General features: G+C 47.7%; 1 long non-coding RNA gene across 3 annotated transcripts in view, besides 2 other annotated features; it reads left to right on the top strand.

Moving 5' to 3' along the window:
* Window positions 4,500-4,702: a silencer, noted in NCBI's record as "fragment chr3:197189524-197189726 (GRCh37/hg19 assembly coordinates)". NCBI's record gives its function as "represses an EF-1alpha promoter that drives an FKBP-Casp9 reporter gene in an ReSE screen in K562 erythroleukemia cells {active_cell/tissue: K562}" and the evidence as "EXISTENCE:reporter gene assay evidence [ECO:0000049][PMID:32094911]".
* Window positions 9,067-22,546, top strand: part of LOC105374308 (uncharacterized) — a 42,702-nt gene continuing 29,222 nt past the window's right edge. The window contains exons 1-4 of one of the 3 annotated variants that reach the window (NR_189109.1): window positions 9,067-9,170; window positions 9,572-9,727; window positions 22,032-22,083; window positions 22,191-22,334. This is a non-coding gene — a long non-coding RNA (uncharacterized LOC105374308). Of the gene's footprint in view, window positions 9,171-9,571; window positions 9,728-16,046; window positions 16,212-16,772; window positions 18,583-22,031; window positions 22,335-22,546 lie in introns of those variants that run through there. The other 2 variants (NR_189107.1, NR_189108.1) reach the window with 2 other exon arrangements.
* Window positions 19,251-19,451: a silencer, noted in NCBI's record as "peak4993 fragment used in MPRA reporter construct". NCBI's record gives its function as "represses an SCP1 promoter by STARR-seq MPRAs in K562 erythroleukemia cells {active_cell/tissue: K562}" and the evidence as "EXISTENCE:reporter gene assay evidence [ECO:0000049][PMID:32103011]".

Genomic DNA, 22,546 nt, shown 5'->3' with positions numbered 1-22,546 from the left:
TGTTAAGAGCTAATTTTAGAGCTAATTTGGGTTCCATTAGTATATGGTTCTGTTGCAAATCTGACATTAACATCGGCAGCTTGATGAGTCACCGAGGGAGGAAAAGCCTTTTACCCTAACTGCAGCAATGCAGGCACATATGGTGTCATTTTGCAAGGAACAGATTTTTGTCTTTCATGCCATTTCAGAGCTGTTTCCCTCTGAAATTACCAGCTCTGATTTAATGCGGAACATGCCTGGGTGTCACTGCAGAGATCTAGTTAAACTGAGAGAGCTGGCAGGTCCCACAAGTCTGCAAAAACCGTGTTCATTTGCACAGTGTAATTCCTCCCAAATCCATGCCCACAGGCTGGGAATCAGCCACCAGCAAGTGCGGGGGCCTGCTCTTGGGGGTCTCCAAGCCTCTTCTGAGTCAGTGCTACCCAGAATCCCAGTCTTGGGTGGATGAGGAGGGACAGAGCCTTCCTTCCCTCTCTGCCTCTGCCCTTAAAATGAGCAGGATTTAATGATTCTGTTCCTGAGGCTGGGACTCTGCTTCCACAGACTCTTGTAAGGGGAGGTTAGGGCATTTCCCATTTCACCCCATGACCAGCTGCCCACGTGCTTGGGGCCAGATGGCTTTAACTGAGATCCGTGATTCCAACTGTGGCTGTGGCAGGGAGGACAGGAGACCTGCTTGCTAATCTGAACTGGTCACTGGCTGGATGACCCTGTTTCCTGAGCCTCCATTTTCTCACCTGTGAAAAGAGAGAATTCTGAGAGTCTCTAATATCTCAGCTTAATAGCCCATAATAGTAACTTGCATTTATCTAACTTTTTACATTTTTCTGAGAACTTTAATTTTTGTTCTGTCCTGTGATCATGATAACATCCTGTGAGGCAGGCACTCCTGTCTTTCACTTGGGAAATTCTGACTCAGAGAGGTGAGGAAACTTGCCCAAGCTCACACAGCTGGTAAGAGGCAGAGATAGACTAGAACCTCGCTGGCCTCACTCCCAGTTCAAGGCTCTTAGAATCAACAGATGGTATCAGAAACTAGCTTTGAACACTGCATTCCGTGACCAGGGGTCATCTTGGAGAGCAGACAGCCATGCCCCACAGGCCTCCAAATGTTCAAACTTTTCCAAGGTGAAAAGATTGCACAATGACCTGGGAAATTATATTCTTTCTTTGGGTCATGCAATATCATGATTGAGCACCCCAGAAGAGGCTGAAAGATAGTAGGAAAAGTACGAGAACTGGTTCCAGTTTTGGCTCTGTCTCAAGTTGCTGTGTGACCTTGAACAAGTCACTTGGCCTCTCTGAGCCTTAGTTCCTAAAAGAGGCAAGTGGACAAGCTATTCTCCAAAGTAAGTTCCCTCTGGAGAGGTCTATGGTTCTATGGCAACAGGTTCAATGCCAGAACGAAATAACACAGCAGCAAGTGTAACACCTTTGTTCCGAGAGCAGCCTCCATGCCCGAGATTCAAATTCTGAGAAAGGAAAATACTCCAGGAAGTTAAAAAGTGAAGTCGACCTAAACAGCAACCAAAGCAAGTTACTCCTGTAAGTGACCAGGCAAATCCTAAAACAAGGGTCACAAACTGAAATCCTGCAGGAGCCAGGCGGGGACTGAAGCAAACTGGCAAACACTGCCTGACTTCAAAAGGGACAGTGACCACTCACCTCCAGCCACATGTTGTTGGGCAGGAATGTAGATACAGTGTCAACAATCTTCCAACTTTTCAAGAGAATTGTGAATCTGAATATTCATGTGAAATATCCTAATTTTTAAACATTGGAAACAAACCCAAAGACTTAAAAACCCTTTCATGCCAAACAGAATGTGTCTGCTAGCCATATGCTGCCCAAGTGTGCTAACATCTTCCCGGGTAGTTTGTGTCTGTCTTCGCCTTAAACAATTTCAGGGAGCCTGTTTCCTGGCCTTCCTTGGGAGCACGCTGCAGTGGTGACCTTCCTGAACCCTTACAAGTCAACAATACTTGACATCACGCAAATCCCATTTTCCTGTCTGTGGCCTTTGAGGCTGGACCCCTGACAGGGGCCAGCATGCACACCCGGTTCCCGCTCTGCCTGCCTGAAAATAACCTTCTCCAGAGAGACAAACAACAGTGGGAGGGGAAAAGGACGATTTGGCCTTGCTAGTACGGTAAAACAGATGAGGTTATTTTTTCTGCCATCATGTCTACTTTATTGGATCACATAACCATTTTTATTGTTAATTTAGGTACAAATTAATTGCTATACAAATGAACAGAAACGCAGATGAGTCCCTCACCATGACTCGAACCTCAAACAGCAATTACGTGGCTTTGTAATCTAACAGAGCAGATATCAGTCAGCTGCGGTGTCTTCGCAGGCCCAATCCATGCTAATGGGAAGAGGGATGTCCCTGGAGATTCCTTAACAACCTGAGCAAACCTGGGGTAGGTGTTTCACAGATTCCAGGGCCCCGTGTCTGCCTCGCTTCCTCTTTCCAAGCACGATTGAATAAAGGTATTAGACAATTTGACAGTATTCTCATGGACTGTCTTTTTCTCCCCCGAAGGATTTTTTTTTTTTTTACCACACTCTTGTGATTCTGTACTTATTTTTTCTCTTCAGAGCCACATGTAAGACATCAGACCTAGAAGGCACTTTAGAGGGACCCCTGTCTTTCTGCCACCAGGCAGCATCCCCAGTCCCCCAGCCTGGGTGTGAGAGCCCTCCCAGGTGCTCCCAACTACTGGCTCCTTTAGGGTTCCTGGGCTGGAACTGTCTAGTTATTTGCCTGAGTCTTCCCCAAATGGACTATAAACATCTCAAAAGCAGGGACAACATCTTACCCACCTTATTGCCCTCTGCTCAGGGCATGGTGTAGTGGTGCAAGGGTAGTGGTGTAAGCAGCAATGCTCAGAAACTAAAGAAAAAAGCTGGCCGTGCCGGGCGTGGTGGCTCACACCTGTAATCCCAGCACTTTGGGAGGCCAAGGGGGGTGGATTACAAGGTCAGGAGTTTGAGACCAGCCTGGTCAATATGGTGAAACCCGGTCTCTACTAAAAATATAAAAAATTAGCCCGGTGTGGTGGCTCATACCTGTAATCCCAGCTGCTCAGGAGGCTGAGGCAAGAGAATGGCTTGAACCCAGGAGGTGGAGGTTGCAGTGAGCCAAGATCACACCACTGCACTCCAGCCTGGGCGACAGAGTGAGACTCCATCTCAAAAAAAAAAAAAAGAAAAGAAAAGAAAAGAAAAAGAAAAGAAAAGAAAAAATCTGGCCAAGCCCCTCACTTTATCTGTGCTGGTAGCACCCCGGTGAATCCTCCCACAGATACCACACAAGTAATTTCCTTCTTTGAGCTGCAGACTTTTATAATTTCCTGCCTAATTTTGTCATCTTCCGTGTAATAGTAAAAGCCAAAATATCCATCTAGAAATATTTCTTAGTTTCCATTTGCCAAATCAATTCCATCTCTCTTAGAAATAAAATGTAGTTACTTTTTGATCAAATGAAAAGATATTATGTAACTAATGAAATTGTACTGTATAAAAAAGTTCTCTTTAAGAAAGAAAGAAAGTTCCTTAATGAACAGCAGTCAATTCTAGACTCTAGATTAAATCAAACAAATATTTTTTCCCTGCCCTTGGATCAGTTGTACTGGAAACTGTTTTGAAGCTTCTATGATAAGATTTTAGATTCTCATCACAAAAAACTGAAGGTATTGTATTACTAGTTTTCTCTAAACTTTATAGCCATTCGAGAGCCTGTTGTAATTCAGAGAATTTTTGACTCACTTGCAGGAAATTTTCTTAGTCTACATATTTTACATTCCAATATAAAAGTCCTTAACTTTTTATCAGAAGTGGTTTAAAGCATCAAAGGTAAGCTAGTCATAATGACTTTCTTGTTTTTCTTGATTTCCTTATAGAGGTTAGCTACATGGGCGTATTCAATGGGCTTTTTCTGTTTTCAAGCCTATAATCTGCACAGAGCCTAGTACAGTGCCTTATATGCAATCAATGCTTGTTGAATCAACACATGAATGAACGAATAGATGTCTCTTGAAAAAAGAGAAAACATTGTTTTACAGAGTTCTCCCTCTGATGACGCTGATAGAACCCACAGATTTAGACTAATAGAATGTCAAAGGGAAAATTACCCAGAAATATATAATCTGGTTCTTTAGACTAATAGAATGTCAAAGGTAAAATTACCCAGAAATACATAATCTGGTTCAGTGTTTTTTTACTTTTCAGATTTAGAGACTGAGGTTCAGAGAACCCCCAGATCACCTGAAATCCTCATTGGGAATTTCAGGAAATTGTACCAAATATGAACCCAAAGGTAAACACGGGTTTCCATGGCAACCGAACGTGGGCTTGTTCATTGCTTTCTGTCGCCTTTACCTTCGTGAAATTCTCATGAACTAACTGGGATTCAGAAGGACGTAAAATGACTAGTTCCTGAAAGCTCTTAAATACTTCCTGGCTCTCTTCATCCACTAGTTGCTGTGGAGTAGAGTTTGGTATTTGGTGGCTCCGAGACCCCCCAAGGGCTCCATTACTAATTCGGGGGAGTGGAAAGAGCTCTGGGTCCCACGTCAGAGTTTGGGGCCCTGGCTCCAGCTGTGCTGGCCATAGACCCTGAGACAAATCAGCTGCCCAAGTCCCATCCTCATCCCTGAATAGAAGTGGTAGCCTCTGTTCTGCCTTCCTTAATGTTTTGGAAACGGTAAAGCACACCAATACAAGGAGTTAAGATTGTCCCTGGGGTAGAGCAAGCAGACACATGCCATGGGGGGTGGGGGCGGCAACCCCGGGGTGCTGGGCTTCCCTGCTCGAGAACTAGGAAATATGAAAGTTAACCTTCTGAGAGTCAAACCAGTGGTTCCCAACTTTTTCCAGTGTAAATCCTCCTTTTTTCTTTTTCTTTCTTTCTTTTTCTTTTTTCTTTTTTTGAGACAGGGTCTCATTCTGTCGCCCAGACTGGAGTGCAGTGGTGTGATCTCAGTTCACTGCAACGTCCGTCTCCTGGGCTCAAGCCATCCTTTCACCTCAGCCTCCCGAGTAGCTGGGATTGCAAGCGGCCGCCACCATGCCTGGATAATTTTTGTATTTTTTGTAGAAATGGGGTTTCACCATGTTGCCCAGGCTGGTCTTGATCTCTTGAGCTCAAGTGAGCCTCACACCTCGTTCTCCCAAAGTGCTGGGATTACAGGCGTGAGCCACTGCACCTGGCCTAAATCCTGCTTTTATCCTCAAAATATTTTCCAGACCCATTTCCACATGATCATATTTATACTTTTAGTGTTTGTGACCAAGAAATACATATTGACAACAAACTATTAGGAATTATGACTACTCTTTAAATTGCCACATCATATGAATATTTTTGACAAACAGTGGTACCAGATTAGCATGTACTATGTTTGCTTACAGATACTCTAGACACTCATGGATTAGGTGGCTTCTCAAAATCACTCCCTCTGCTCTCAGATCAGGGAATTCCTGTATTAAACTATAAAATATAAACATAATAAATGGATAAGAGCCAAGCAATGCAATCATTTTAGGTGGGCTCTGACTCCAGGTGGAAGTCAGGCAAACATTAACACATCCAAAGCAAGAAGACTGGTCACAAGAACCTTGGTTACCAGCAGAAACTTAGAAGAGGTAGTACCACCCAGGTGAGCACTGGCAGTGCCCTCCCAGTAGAGCCCAAGTCCTGGTAGACCTGGGTTCATCAGGCGGCATGTGACTCATGTAACTAACTCCTTACGCTCTACTCTCGGCTCCGCTGAGCATCCCTGTTGCCAGCATAGAGCAGCCAGACATCTGAAGGTTGTATTTCATTGCAGATGGATGTCCTGGCTTTAGATCCTAGAACCATCCTAAGAAGACGAGTAAGGTGACATTTTTTTGAGTTAAAAAAAATACCCAGGTGGTGGATGACAGGGTAGGTTTCTGAGTGTGGCCCTGAGGCCTCTGAGTAGCCCTGGAGCAACCGCCCTACTGGTCTCCACTGGGGTTCACCTTTTGGAGTTACCATGAACCATGGTTTCTCAACCTTAGCACTCTAGACATTTTGGTCATATAATTTTGTTGTGAAGGGCTGTTTTGTGCATTACAGGATATTGAGCAGAATCCCTTGGCCGCTATCGACTAGATGCCAGTAGCATCCCACTCCCCATCCCAATTATATCAATCAAAAAGGTCTCCATACGTTGCCACATGCTCCCGGGACGAAGGGGAATGACCCCGCCCCAGTTGAGAACCACCATCATGACCCATCCCCATCAAATATCTACAGGATGCGGCCTCATGAGGTTCCTCTCAAAGACCAAACCATTTCTGGATGCTCAATACATTAAATTTATACACAGTGTCACCTTTGTCCGAAAGATGTTAGAATTCTTGAAAAATCTATTTCAAGGAGCTTGTAGTTAATTTAGGAATACGACCAGGCTCCACTTCACTATAATGCAAAGGAAATAGGGATTCTGGCAACTGAGTGAAGAGAAACTTTATTCGATGACCTAGCGATTCAAGGGTCATCCTTCTGAACATCCATTGTTCTTTCATAAACGTGTAATGGGGTTGGACTGCACCGGCCATGTGTGGACTCCAGGGGAGTCCCTGGAAGCTGCTGGTATTTTGTTGTTTTAAAAAATAAACCCTTGATTTGTTTTTGATTTCTTATTAAGGTCTTCTTCCTAAAAATAGTACAAAAAAATTCCAGTCACCTGAGAAACTAAATTATTTTGTGCTCATGAATTGAGGGTTTTTATTTTTTGGCTGAAATTGTTCCAGCATTTTCTTTTTGAGGTAAAATAGACATCTAAAATTTACCATGTTTACTATTTTTAAGGGTACTGTTCAGTGGTAATACATTTACATTCTTTTTGTCCCCTTCATCCTCCCCCTCCCTCTACTCTTCCCTGCCGCTGGTAACCACCATTCTCTTTTCTACCTTCATGAGATCTGCTTTTGGAGCTCCCACAGTTCTACTGTTTTCTAAAGGATTCTGCCATTGGAAACTGCTTGGTTTCAGGAGAGCACTCCCACCACAGTCAGGCCTCTCAGGAGAGTAGCGTCCATCACGGCTCCAATTATATAGAGACATGAACACCTGGTTCTGCTCCGGGTGAGGTTTTTCCTCCTGACCGCACCCCTCCTGACCACACACCTCCTGACCACACCCGTCCTCACTGCATCCCTACTAACCGCATCCCCTCCCGACCGCATCCCTACTAACCGCATCCCTCCTGACCGCACCCCTACTAACTGAATCCCTCCTGACCACATCCCTACTAACTGCATCCCCTCCTGACTGCATCCCTCCCGACCGCACCCCTACTAACTGCATCCCTCCCGACCGCATCCCTACTAACTGCATCCCCTCCCGACCGCATCCCTACTAACTGCATCCCCTCCCGACCGCATCCCTACTAACTGCATCCCCTCCCGACCGCATCCCTACTAACTGCATCCCCTCCTGACCACATCCCTACTAACTGCATCCCCTCCCGACCACATCCCTACTAACCGCATCCCCTCCCGACCGCATCCCTACTAACCGCATCCCCTCCTGACCACATCCCTACTAACCGCATCCCCTCCCGACCGCATCCCTACTAACTGCATCCCTCCCGACCACATCCCTACTAACTGCATCCCCTCCCGACCACATCCCTACTAACTGCATCCCTCCCGACCACATCCCTACTAACTGCATCCCTCCCGACCACATCCCTACTAACTGCATCCCTCCCGACCACATCCCTACTAACTGCATCCCTCCCGACCACATCCCTACTAACTGCATCCCTCCTGACCGCATCCCTACTAACTGCATCCCTCCCGACCACATCCCTACTAACTGCATCCCCTCCTGACCACATCCCTCCTGACCACACCCGTCCTCACTGCATCCCTACTAACTGCATCCCCTCCCGACTGCATCCCCACTAACTACATCCCCTCCTGACCACATCCCTCCTGACCGCACCCCTCCTGACCCCAATCCCTACTCACAGCCTCCAAGGCTACCAGGTGCTGTTCACATGTGGCCAGCACTGTTGGTGGAAGGCGCCACACCCAGTAATCCAGGTGTCGTCCTCCCGTCCAGGTCCAGCGGCCTCTTCCTGCTTCTGCAAGCCTAGTTTTTTCTAGTCTTTGGGAGAGGAAAGTCTCGTTTTGCAAGCACACTGCCTGGCCTTTGTGTCTAGCCCTGGCTCTGTGGGTTCTGTGAGTGTTTGTTTCTGACCAGTCTGGACTGGGGTGCCCTTCGGTGCCAGCAAGAGAGCAGCGTGCAAGGGAAATACACAGATCAACCCTTGGAGCTGTAATCTTGTCTGAATCCTGTCTGTTGTCTTGCCTACTATGTGAGATAGAAATGAAGATGGAAAAGGGTAACCCTCAGGGCAGCCCTGCACAGAAACCCCTTCCCAGAGGGCCACGGCTGAGGCACCACTCCCAGGACAGCTGGGCCTTGAGCTCCATTTGGTCTTTTCTTCCTGGGGAAAAAAGGCCCTGTGTGGCTGTTTGTCCATAATGTTAAAGAGAGCCTCTTGGGGGCCCTGGATGTAAAGGTAGAGGTTCTGAGTTTAGGACCCTGCAAATTGCCCCAATGGGAAGCCTGCTAGGAAGAAGAGTGGTTACCAGAGCCCAAATGCAGGCAGGCCAACCCCCTTCAAGGGACCCCCCGCAATGAGAAAAGGGGAACCCATCACAATGGCAGCCGTTCTCCACCTCACCAAGGCCTCTGAGGACAAGCGGGAGAGGAGGGGAGCCTGGTCTAACTGTGAGGAAAGAGCAAAGTACAAATGCTTGCCTTCAACGTGCCATGCTTTCTTTCTCCAGCAGGTGGTCTGGGCGCTGGCGCAGTCACCCGGCAGAGAGTGCTGCTCAGCCTTAGGGTGCCCGTGTGCAGGAGAGACAAAGCTTTTGTGCAGAATCTCAGCCTTAGGGTGCCTGTGTGCAGGAGAGACAAAGCTTTTGTGCAGAATGCCCCACCCTCGGCACTTGACAGGGTGAGTGGAGGGCATGTGGTATTTCAGCCTCCACCCAGCTGCTGAACAGACAGGCACACACTGAACAGCCTCACCCGCCACAGCCTTGCTCTCAAGCGTTCTGCTTTCCTGCATCAGCAGAAATAAGGGGACCAATTTATCATACCTGCTGGGTGCCAGGTACTTTATATATTATCTCCTCTTTTTTTTTTTTTTTTTTTTGAGATGGAGGTTTGCTCTTGTCACCCAGGCTGGAGTGCAATGGCATGATCTCAGCTCACTGCAACCTCCGCCTCCCAGGTTCAAGTGATTCTCCTGCCTCAACCCCCCAGGTAGCTGGGATTACGGGCATGCACCACCACGCCCAGATAATTTTGTATTTTTAGTAGAGACGGGGTTTCTCTATGTTGGTCAGGCTGGTCTCAAACTCCCGACCTCAGGGTTCGACCTCAGGTGATTTGCCTGCCTCGGCCTCCCAAGGTGCTGGGATTACAGGTGTGAGCCACCATGCCTGGCCTATATTATCTCCTTTAATCACCCCAACAACCATGTGAAGTGGGATTTTTATCTCCATTTTACAGATGACGTAACTACGGCTTTGGGATGTTACGCAACGAGTAAGGCCTTGTGAGTCTTCACAGAAAGGGACTGGCCTGGAGGCTCCGAGCGGTCAGCTAGTTCCCGTCACTGTTCTCCCCGGGAAGCTGTGGATGGGCAGTGACCCAGGCAGGGAAAGGGTAAGAATCGCTGCTTGAGGACCCAAGAGGCTTCACCTCCCTCCTCAGACAGGAACCCGGGAAAGGGCTTTGCCCGGGAAGGTCTATGATAGGGATTCTCACAGTGAGACAGGACCAGCATCTCCTGAGACAAACTACTGCTCTTGAATTTGAAAAGAATTCTCAAGTCTGCGTCTCATCTCTAATTCTTTCTACCACTGTGTCTTTTTCCCAGTTGGCATTGGCAGCCACGAAACAGCTTGAGGGGCCAGGCGCGGCGGCTCACGCCTGTAATCCCAGCACTTTGGGAGGCCAAGGTGGGCGGCTCACCTGAGGTTGGGAGTTTGAGACCAGCCTGACCAACATGCAGAAACTCCGTCTCTACTAAAAAAAAAAAAAAAAAAATACAAATTAGCCAGGTGTGGTGGTGCATGCCTGTAATCCCAGCTACTCGGGAGGCTGAGGCAGGAGAATCACTTGAACCCAGGGGGCGAAGGTTGCAGTGAGCCAAGATTGCACCACTGCACTCCAGCCTGGACAACAAGACCGAAACTCCATCTCAAACAAAACGAAACGAAACGAAACAAAACAAAACAAAACAAAAACAGCTTGAGGACCAGATAGGGCATCAAAAGCGGAGAAAGCTGGGGAACTCTGTGTCCTCTGAATCCAGTTCAGATGGAAAGGAAGCCCCAGAGGGAGGACAGGTGGGGGCAGCTGGAAAGACAAGACCAGGCTCCCCTTCTTGGGTGTGGAGGGAGACAGTGGTCGGGACCCCCAGAGAGGGCAGAGCACCGGGCTGGCCGGTGGGGTGGGGTTCCCCGCAGGAGGCCTGTGCCGCCGGCTGTGTGGCCTGCGGAGGAGCCTGCCGAGCCTGCCGAGCCCCGCATCCGGTGGGAAGTAGGAGTCTGGCACTTCCGGCTCGGGCTGCTGCAGCGGTTCCGGGCATCTGCGCTATTAGAATTCTCCCGGCTCGCGGCGGCCGCAGGAATCCAGTCACGTGGTAGACGTGGTGCCTGGGAGCCGGGGTCAGCGAGCGCTCAGTCTGAGAGAAAACGTGTTCCTTCCCCCTGAGACGTGTCCCGTGCCGGGCGATGGCTCGCGGCAAACCTCCGCTCCCACAGGGAAGGAGCCCTGTGAGGCCTGGCCTGGGAGCTCTCGGGAGCGTGGGTGGTGAGCAGGGACACGGGGACACGGGAAAATCACTTCTGCTGCTGATCAGGATGTTGCCAGCCTACCATTTCTGTCGGAGGCTCCTTACTGATACTTCCGCTTCCCTTAGTTCCTTTTCCTCTCTGCCACGATGCTACATTCTCTGCAAGCAGGCTCCGACCTGGTTCCCGGATAACCTCAGAACTACAGCCTCATGACATCACTTCTCTATTGCCCTGTCCCCTTTGCTAAGAATTGGCGATACATTCAGAGGGCAAAAGCTTGCCTTTGAATTTGCTGAGTAAAAACCAAGGCTTTGTTACCTCTGGGTCTAGGGGATTGAAGAAGGACCCGATTTCCCTCTCCTCCCTCCCTCCCCCTTCCTGCAAGCCTCTCGATGAGAATGTATTTCCTAGTCACCTACGCTCACACCTATTTTGTAAATCTTCTAGATACTCTCCCTCCAGCCCACTCAGCCCCACTCTGCCAGAGGAGATACTGGACCCCAGGTCTTCCCCAATTTCAGCCTCCCCCAACCCGGCTTTTTATTCCTGAGGACCTCCCTCCACACCCAAGAAGCTATTTCCTGAAGGGGTCTCATTCCCTCCTGTTATTTTTCAGTTTGTTCTGTGCTGCTGCTTTTGGTCCTTCCTAACAGAAACCCTCATTCCTGTGGAAGACGTCCTGTCAGGAATAACCCCTTTGCTACGTGGTGGACACTAGCGTCCTGTCAGAAATTCACGCTCTCCTATCAGCAACCTGTTTTCTTGTCAGAAATCATTGTTGTCAGAAATCAGAAATCACTCTTTCTTTCTTTTTCTTTCTTTCTCTCTCTCTCTTTCTTTCTTCTTTTTGAGGTGGCGTCTCACTCTGTCTCCCAGACTGGAGTGCAGTGGCGCGATCTTGGCTCACTGCAAGCTCCGCCTCCCAGATTCAAGCGATTCTCCTGCCTCAGCCTCCGAGTAGCTGGGACTACAGGCACGCACCATCACACCCGGCTAATTTTTGTATTTTTAGTAGACACGGGGTTTCACCATGTCCGCCAGGATGGTCTCGAACTACTGACCTCAAGTGATCCACCCGCCTCAGCCTCCCAAAGTGCTAGGATTACAGGCATGAGCCACTGTGCCTGGCTGAGAAATCACTACTTTGCTTTTAGAAATCACCGTCCTGAGAAAAATCAGTTTCTTTCAGAAATCCTTGTTTTCTTGTCAGAGCTCCATGCATAGCCCACTGGAGGCCAACATTTTCCATCAGACATCCCTGTTTTCCTGTCATAAACCACTACTCTCCTGTCAGAAATCCCTGGTCTCCTGTCAGAAGTCCCTGGTCTCCTGTCAGAAGTCCCTGGTCTCCTGTCAGAAATCCCTGGTCTCCTGTCAGAAGTCCCTGGTCTCCTGTCAGAAATCCCTGGTCTCCTGTCAGAAGTTCCTGGTCTCCTGTCAGAAATCCCTGGTCTCCTGTCAGAAGTCCCTGGTCTCCTGTCAGAAGTCCCTGGTCTCCTGTCAGAAGTTCCTGGTCTCCTGTCAGAAATCCCTGGTCTCCTGTCAGAAATTCCTGGTAGGAGCTTCCAGTCAGAAGTCATTACTTTCCCGTAGGGAATCACTGGTCCTTGCCTGATCCTTCTTTCCCCAGAATATTCAGAGTTGCTCGTCATCCTTTGACTTTGGTAGTTTTCTTGTGACTTTCTTGCTGGGAGAGGAGAAGGGCACTGCCGGCTGTTCACACCTGTTTTGCCACATCTGTGGAAGCTCAGTGCTGGCTCCAGAAGCAGCCTGGGGCACTGGACACAGCACAGGGGGTGTCCACAGCCTCATATGCCCCTCCTGGGTGATGATAGACAAGTCATTTCTGCCTGCTGGACCTTTTCCCCATCTTTTTGTTGGGGGTGATAATATCGCCTACTCTGCCTGCTTCATAGCGTCATTTAATTTAGATCAATGACACTTCTGACTTCCAAAAAGTTGCTACTTTGTTTGAGACAGAAATCTCTTTTCCTGTCATTTTTACTCACTGTTGCTCCATAGGGCAAATCTAATACTTCTTCCATACCACAACCCTTCAACCCTGCCCCTAAATCTCCTCTTACCTGCAAAAAATGCCTCCTGTTCTCTAATGCCCAGATTCAACCAGCTCATTCCTTGTGTTGTGTGACTGGCTTCCAGGTCTGTTGCCAGCCTGCTCCCCCGACTCCACCCCTGGTCCCACCTTGTTTGAGTTTGTCTAGGTCTTTCTTGGAGTGTGCTGTGATCAGCTCAGGGGACAGCAAGAGTGTCACCTCCCTCCTTCTACAGCAGATGGCATGGTCAGGTTGCATGAGCTTTTACACTGCAGATTGAATGTGCCATTTACCATGTAGAATCTTCCCAGGCAGAAGCTCCATTTATTCGTTTTTATTTTTCTATTAGAGGTTTGTAATTTTCTTTGAATGCATTCTTCATGTCCTTTTACGTGAATTGCAAAATACTTAATGATTTGGATTCTTCAGGGAATGAGCTCTCTCTATTGCATTTCCTTCTAGTCTTCATCACTGGACTCTAGAAACGGTGTATTGATTTAATTTTTTTCTTATAATCTGAAACGTTGCTGAACTGATTTGCCATTTCTAAGTAGTTTTCCTGGAACACTCTGTACTGTCTTGGGGTGCTTACCCATTCTGTCTTGTGATGGAGACAGCTTTATGGCAGGCTGTGTCACGTGCTCTGCCATTTTCTCCTTGGAACCACTCCAAATGGGTGCCAACGCCTCTAGGCAGGAGCTGTGCTGGACATCAGAGTTCAAGGAAATGGGGATGGCATTGTTTTATTATTATTATTTTGAGACAGAGTCTCGCTCTGTCGCCCAGGCTGGAGTGCAATGGTGTGATCTCAGCTCACTACAACCTCCGCCTCCCAGGTTCAAGCGATTCTCCTGCCTCAGCCTCCTGAGTAGCTGGGACTACAGGCACCCACCACCATGCCTGACTAATTTTTTGTATTTTTAGTAGAGACGGGGTTTCACCATGTTGGCCAGGCTGGTCTCGAACTCCTGACCTCAGGTGATCCACCCGCCTCGGCCTCCCACAGCGCTGGGATTACAGGCGGAGCCAACAAGCCCGGCCTGGAAATGGGGATGGCATTATGAACAGGGTAATCTTTTGTTAATTCTGATTTCCATTTTTTGAAGTAAATCATTCTAATAACTTTGGTAATTCAGCTATTAATAGCAACACATTGCTTACCACATACTTCACAAGTGAACAGTGATCACACCGAAGTTGAAAACACTTGGCCTGTTGATTAAACAGGGTTTTCACTGGATTACACACTTTAAAACGGTGAATTTTAAGGTATGTGAATGAGTCCTTCCCCTGCTCAATGACAACAACAGGAAAAATTTTAAAAATAGGCTTTGGAGACAACTAGTTTATGTCCCAGCTTTGCCCTTAACAGGCCGTCTGGCCTTTAGGCAATTATGGTCCAGTCCTTGATTTCTCTGAATTTCCACTTCATCCTATGTAGAATGGGATTATGAATTGCCCTTCTTTCATTCCACTGATAAAAGAAACTCTCCACCCCCACCCTAGAGAGCGGCTGATCAAAATATCCCAATTCTCCTAGACACAATAATTGATGAAGACACGCTCACAAGACCCAAAGATGCTCAGTCAAGATTCGTGAGGAGGGGAAATGTGGATGCTGGGTCAAAATAGGGCTCTCTCCTTCTAAAATCATAAGACATAGCCTGGGGAGCGGTGGCTCACGCCTGTAATCCCAGCACTTTGGGAGGCTGAGGCGGGCGGATCATGAGGTCAGGAGATCAAGACCATCCTGGCCAACATGGTGAAACCCTGTCCTACTAAAATACAAAAAATTGCCAGGCGCAGTGGCTCACGCCTGTAATCCCAACACTTTGGGAGGCCGAGGCAGGCGTAACCTGAGGTCGGGAGTTTGAGACCAGCCTGACCAACATGGAGAAACCCCATCTTTACTAAAAATACGAAACTAGCCGGGTGTGGTGGCGCGTGCCTGTAATCCCAGCTACTCGGGAGGCTGAGGCAGGAGAATCGCTTGAACCTGGGAGGCGGAGGTTGCAGTGAGCCAAGATCACACCATTGTACTCCAGCCTGGGCAAGAAGAGTGAAACTCTGTCTCAAAAACAACAACAACAAACACAAAAAATTAGCTGGGCGTGGTGGTGTGTGCCTGTAGTCCCAGCTACTTGGGAGGCTGAGGCAGGGGAATCTCTTGAACCCAGGAGGTGGATGTTGCAGTGAGTGGAGATCGCACCACTCCACTCCAGCCTGGCGACAGAGAGAGACTCCATCAGAAAAAAAAAAAAAAAAAAAAAAAAAAGGCCGGGCGCAGTGGCTCACACCTGTAATCCCAGCACTTTGGGAGGCTGAGGTGGGCGAATCGCCTGAGGTCAGGAGTTCAAGCCCAGCCTGGCCAACATAGTGAAACCTGTCTTTACTAAAAATACAAAAATTAGCCGGGCATGGTGGTGGGCACCTGTAATCCCAATTACTCAGGAAGCTGAAGCAGGAGAATTGCTTGAACCTGGGAGGCGGAGGTTGCAGTGAGCCGAGATTGCACCACTGCACTGCAGCCTGGGTGACAGAGCGAGACTCTGTCATAAGATGTAAAGTTCATGAAATCCAGAGCTACTGGGGGTCATCTTTCCCAATATACGAGAGAACATACTGGAGAGTGACGCTAACATAGTGGAAATGAAGGGAGACAGAGAGGTTTCTGACGTTACCTGAGCCCGTGGAGCCAGCCTGGGCGGAAACCGGACAACTCCTGATGTTTTCATTCATGTGCACCAGTAATTCCTTTTTTTCTTAAGCTTGTTTGAGTTGGGTTTCTGTCATGAGCAACCCAAAGAGGCTTAATACAGAAATATATTGTATCAGGCTGTTGTGAGAATTACTCGTGGTAATACCTATAAGGCGTATAAGCAGGGACTAAATAAGCAGGGACAAAAAATGGAAACTTACTATTATTATTGATAGCATTATGCAATGGATAGGAACAACTTTGTATATGCTTAATCTTATTACCCTGTAGTAACAAAGATAGTACTAACTGAGTACCATATAAAGTAGAATCTCAATAAACATATCCTTATAGACAAACTGATATCTCTTTACCTTAGTATAGAATTTAAACATGAATTAATCTGAATTTCTCCTGCCTTTTACTCTTAGGAGATAGAGATGAATCTACAAAATGGAAAAAGTGTTGAACTTGGGAGTCAAGAGACCAGGATTCTAGTTCTGATGATGCCCTTCACATACCGAATGCCCTGGGGAAGCCGCTTCCCTTCTCTCAGCCTTGGGTTCTCCATGTGTCAAATTAGGCTGTGGAAAAAGGTATCAAGAGATACTTTTAATGGTCCATGATTTCTGGGGATTAAAATAAATTCAATCTCATACCCCTTTTGCATCCTGCCCACAGCCTCCCACAGTGACACATGATCAGGGAGAGTCAGGGTGCTTGCAAATGGCCATTTGCGTGACGTTTTATGCTCATGGGAAGATGCAAGGAAGTCAGTACTCTTCACTTGCTAATGTAAAAATGTTACTGAATACATCTTAGAATGACTTTTAAAGACAAGGCCTGAAATATAATTTCGTATCAGAAAAAAATGAATTGAAATGAATATTTTTCATTCATCAGGCATTCATTTAGGGCTTTCTAGGTACATCCTGTGCCCAGTACTAGAACAAAGGGACTAAGGCTCTGTTCCTGAGGTCAAGGAGAGCCTTGTCTTGCAAGGAATGTTCCCTGAATATCTTGTTCATCAAAATTTCACTGGAGTTCAGATTGAAATGGAGATTTTGATAACCTTATTGGGCCAGGCACTGGGTAGACAAGTTTGTTGACATCATCTTAACACTTGATTGTAACTTTTCTGTTCTCCCACCTCCCAGAAACACTCATCTGGCTGAACGGAGACATGAGCCTCTGTAAACTGATTCTTCCTCCACAAAGGGGCCCTGGCCCTCACAGCCCCATCCTCTTTCATCCTTGCTGCCTGATCCTAGGGAAGCTTTGCTCTGGTGGTGCCTGGAGCTGTGATGTATGCAGTCATTTGAAACCCCAGCTTTGTGGAAGACACGAGACATTGATTTTTACTCTACCATTTGGAGAAAAATCATTTTTATATTAGCAGAAATGTTGATAGACAAGGAGCAAAGTTTAAGGTTGGAATGACTTTAAGATTCATTCATTTTTTAAAAATTTATACTTATTGAGTGCTTACTATGTGCCAGCCCTGTCCTAGGCCCTTGGGGACTGGTTGGTAAATAAAGCAGATAGAGTAGTCGATAATGCCTGATATAGTTTGGATGACTGTCCCCTCCAAATCTCATGTTGAAATGTAATCCCAATATTGGAGGCGGGGCTTGGTGGGAGGTGTTTGGGTCTCGTGGGTGGACCCTCATGAATGGCTGGGTGCTGTCCTAGAGGCGGTGAGTGCGTTCTCATGAGATCTGGTTGTCTAAAAACATGTGGCACCTGCCCCCTCTCTCTCTCGCTTCCACTCTCACCATGTGACACCCAGCTCCTGCTTCACCTTCCACTGTGATTAAAAGCTTTCTGAGGCCCTCACCAGATGCTGATGCCAGCACTATGCTCCCTGTACAGTCTGTAGGACCATGAGCCAATTAAACTTTTTTTTCTTTTCTTTTCTCTTCTCTTCTCTTCTTCTCTTTTCTTTTTGAGATGGAGCCTTGCTCTGTCACCCAGGCTGGAGTGCAGTAGCGCCATCTCAGCTCACTCCAACTTCTGCCTCCTGGGTTCAAGCGATTCTCCTGCCTCAGCCTCCCAAGTAGCTGGGACTACATGTGTGTGCTACCACGACCAGCTAATTTTTTATGGGTTTCACCATGTTAGCCAGGATGGTCTCAATCTCCTGACCTCGTGATCCACCCTCCTCGGCCTCCCAACGTGCTGGGATTATAGGCGTGAGCCACTGCACCCAGCCAATTTCTAGTGTTTTCTTTTGATTCTTTCTTAGAGTTTCCATCTCTGAGCTTACATTAACTCTATGTCCTTGCAGTAGAATCCTGCATGTATTAATCATAGTCATTTTAAATTCCCTGTCTGATCATTCCAGCATTTGCATCATATCCAGATCTGGTTCTGGTGCTTGCTCATTTCTTCAGACTTTGCTTTTTCTTGCCTTTTAGCATAGCTTATAACATTTTTTGAAAGCCAAAAATGATGTAATTGAGTAATAGAAACTGATGTAAATAGCCCATCAGTGTGAGATTTATGTTAATCTGGCTAGAAGTTGGGCCATGTATAATGTTTTCTGTATGCTGGGGCTTAGAAACCAATACCCCAAAATACGGCATTTTGACATGCTGAGCTGAAGAAGCTTCCAGGTCTCTCTGACCTCCCTCATCACTTTCTCTGCCATATAACTTGAAGTTCCTTTATCTGCCTATCTACTGTGGAAAATGAGTCCAACAACCTAAGCACACCTGAACAGACACGTTACAGGTACAGTGACTGTCTCAGAGTCCTGAATCGATTCACTCTTCCTAGTAATCCTCTCAAGAGAATTCCTCTTCTGCCCGCTACCATAGCCTGTTTGATCAGGATGCAAGCCCCCATTCTATCGGTAACCTCGAGATGGTATACAAGCTTTTGTACATCACTGGGAGGTTGGGTCTTCATTCTGAAGGCTCCCATGTATACACATTAAATAAATCTGTATGCCTTTTCTCCCATTAATCAATCTGCCTCATGTCAATGATGGTTTTCAGCAAGCCTTTAGGGGGCCAAGGGCCTTGCTTCAAATTCCTATTGTCCTTATTTTTGTCTCCTCTTTAGAAAGAATTTGTGTCTTCAAATCTCTCAGCTGTAATACACTGTACTAAATTACACTGGAGCCCTTTTGGAATGGTGGTGGAGGAAACCAGAATAATTTCACACCAAAATACATTGCCGCAGTATGATGAGTATTTTGAATTAAGGCTCTTAGAGATCAGCAGATGCAGGAATGGGTTTTTTCTTAGCTACATAAAAACTGGACCCACCAAGGAGAACAATTGCTTCCCATCCCCTCCCTGAAATCTCAATGTCTATGACAGAGATGAAGGCTGAGGAATGTAACCACACCAGGATGGACCTTTTCATCAGATATCTGTCTCTCAGGGTCATTCACATTCCAAAGAGAATCATTTACAGATTAACTTTTGATCCACTCATTCTCCCTAATAATAATTTATTGATCCTCAAAAGAAATAACATGGCTTTTCAAATTAGATTCAGAAAAAAATAAGAAAGAATTACCTACATTTCCCATTTGCTCCCTCCCCTATGAAGAAAGTTATATAAACATCTGGATTCCATTGGGTTATTGGGTGATCATTCTCCTGCAAGTCCCCCATGCTACGCACAGTACAATGAATTTGTACTGTCTTTGTCTCTGATTCATCTGCCTTTTGTCAGTTGATTGTCAGCAAACCTTCAGAGAGCAAAGAGGAAGTTTTTCTTTGTTCCCTACAGTGACAAAGTGTAGAGAAGAGAAAGTCATCTATAATCACATGATTAAATCATCGTCTTTTTTTTTTTTTTGAGAAGAAGCCTCGCTCTGTCACCCAGGCTGGAGTGCAGTAGCACAATCTCAGCTCACTGCAACCTCCACCTCCCGGGTTCAAGCGATTCTCCGCCCTCAGCCTCTTGAGTAGCTGGGACTACAGGCATGTGCCACCATGCCTAGCTAATTTTTGTATTTTTAGTAGAGACGGGGTTTCTCCATGTTGGCTAGGCTGGTCTTGAACTCCTGACCTCAAGCAATCTGCCCACTTCAGCCTCCCAAAGTCCTGGGATTACAGGTGTGAGCCACCTCCCCCAGCCAACCTCTTTTCTTTATAAATTACCCAGCCTCAGGCATTTCTTTTACAGCAGTGTGAGAATGAACTAATACAATGCCCTCATGGAGCTCACATTCTAGTGGAAGGAAATAGAAAAAACATGTGGTATTTCAGATGCTGACAAGTGCTGTAAAGAAAAATAGAGCCAGGTAAGGAAGTGTCCAGCTTGCAGAGGACTCGTTCAGCCTTCACCGTCAGAGTCCCTGGATCTCCTTCTTGTCTCTGCCACAAGGGTTACCTGGGCCAAGCATTGGGGTGGGAGTTGGGGATGGGGGTGGGGATTAACCAGGAAATGAATTGGCTTAAGAAATGCATCTTGAGCACCCAGAGGGAGGAAATGCTGAGGGAGGGAGGAGGTGAGCTCGCCCACCCCATGGTACCTCCCAGCTCAGAACCCACACCCTCTGGGGCCCCAGTCAGTCCTTCAGCCTTCTTCAGCAGGCTTCTGTCTCTGTTTTTCTACCTGCTCACGTAGTACAATCCCTGCCTGAGTGTCTCGGAGGCCCAGGGGGCTGCTCTGGGGGGCTTCCTTCGGATGATCACTCGTTTTCACTTGCAATTTCACCTCATCAGCTATTCCCCCAGCTCCGCCCCAAACCCTTTGCCCTTATAGCCAAAGGCAGCCATGTTCTCTGTCACCAGCCCATCTCCTATGCCACAGAGCTTTCACGGCTAAAGAGCTTTACTTTGCCACTCTCCTAACCACGCCCATGGTGGTTTCTCGTGCCTCCCTCTAGCAAAGCCAAGGAGTCGTCGTAAGGCAGGTCAGAGAAGGGAGCTTGATGAGTGGCCGGGGATGGGGAGCTGGGAGGTTGGTGACGTATTGCACACAGAACGGGCTGTAAGCCAGTGGTTCTTACACCTGACTATGCATCAATCACCTGCAGGGCTTGGTAAAATGGAGAGACTGCTTGGCCCCACCCCCAGTTTCTGATTCAGTAGATCTGGAGGGGGGCTCCAGAATCTGCGTGTCTAACAGGACCCCAGGCCATGCTGGTGCTGCTGATCCTGGAGCCACACGGAGACCCACTGCTCCAGGCCAGCTGGCAGGGCCGGCCAGGCTCACCCTCTGAGCCCCCGGCCTCTTCCTGGGCTCTCCCCTTCTAATCTATGGACCTTGCTCTTGCTTCACTTCCTTCCCTCGTCAGTCATCCGATGATTTTCTCCCCCCGCCAGCCCCTGTCCCTCTAAAAAATGCTTCTGGAGTGTGATCTGAACATAAATTATACCAAGTTGCAAGTGGCTGGTCATCACTATCATCCCTTCCAGGAATATTTGAATTTTAACGGTCCAATAACCTGCAAAAACTTGGGTGGTGGACTTCAGGCATCTGCTAGTGAATGGTGGCTGTGTTCGGGGGCTCAGAGCCTCTGAAACTGTGTAGGTGGCCACTTATCCTACACTCTCCGTGTGCCTGTGGGGGAATGTCTCCTACCCAGCCTGGATAAGAATTTAAATTCCACGTCCCTCTTCTTCAGAAGCAGTGAGGCAGAGACGCTGCTACTGAAGAGGATATCAGCTAATGTCAGTAATTAAATCCCCCAAGGAGACAGGAGTCTCTGTGTCTTTTGTGTTCTGGGAGTGGCTCTTGCTTCAGAGGGAAGAAAGAAAATCTGTTGAGACAGACTCTGGTTCTCCTGCTGAGGGAGGCCCCGCTGTGGTTGCATCAGGGTCCAGGTCTCTCCCTGAAGAAGAAACTCAACCAAATTTTCAAAATTAAGGCCACAGCTCCCCACCTCAGGTTTAAAATGAAAGAATGGGAGGGCTTAGAAGTTGGACAGGGATACATAAGGAAGAGGCCGGAAAAGAAGGCAAGCCATGAGAGTTCAACCATGGCCAAATTGCCCATCTGTCCAGAACTTCTCCCCTGAGCACTTGCCCTCTAGTCCTGGGAGGCAGTATTTGGCCTCCCTGCCTCTTATCCTACTCCTGAGAAGAAACAGCTCCTGGAAAGAATAAAACACTGGAAGGAGAAGGAGCAGAAGAAGGAACAGGGCCTGCTGGGTAGGCAGAGGGTGTTGTCCATCCAAGTTGACTTAGGAGGACAGCAATCTGGCACAGGTCGGCCAGCACTGGCCTAGGAGCCAGAGGCCTCCGTTCTTGTCTTTGTGTGGCCTGGAACAAGTCACTGTCCTCTCCACTGCCCTCCAAGGCATCGGCTGAGACAACCTCTGGGTGTCCCTTCAGACTCTGAAATCTTACCACTTCTTCTACCATCATCATTTGCCATGAGAGGTGCATGAGAGATAAGAGTGGGTTCATCAGAACTCTTCCGATGACCTTCATTTTTTCCATCTCTTCCAGCCTCGGATGGAATTGCACTCAAGGACATGTCTGCGTCAAAGCTTTTCTCCAAGTTCGTCTTCAGTTGCTATTTCTGAAGCCACATCACACCCTGAGAAACTCCTCCCTTTTCCTCTACCCTGCTTCTCCCCCCGTCTGTCTCCTTCTTGTCACTTTTAGTTGGTTTTGCACGGGAACTCTGAGGCCATCCCAGCTGCCCTTGTCTGCCCGTGAGAATCCCCTTCCACAGCGCCTCAAGAGCAGGATGGAAGTTCCAAGAGTATGAATTCATTTCATGACATGTACCTTTTGCAACATACCCCGGTAAGTGTGCATGTGACAGTGTGCACGTGTGTGTATGGACATTTTGGGCCCGTTATAAAATGGCAGTTAAGAGCTCAGGTTTGGCTGGTTGTGGTGGCTCATGCCTATAATCTCAGCACTTCGGGAGGCCGAGGCGGGTGGATCACCTGAGGTCAGGAGATTGAGATCAGCCTGACCAACATGGTAAAACCCCATCTCTACTAAATACAGAA

The sequence above is a fragment of the Homo sapiens genome, chromosome 3 (assembly GCF_000001405.40).
Source record: "Homo sapiens chromosome 3, GRCh38.p14 Primary Assembly".
Taxonomy (NCBI): Eukaryota; Metazoa; Chordata; class Mammalia; order Primates; family Hominidae; genus Homo; species Homo sapiens.
This window is presented reverse-complemented; position numbering and strand designations above follow the sequence as displayed.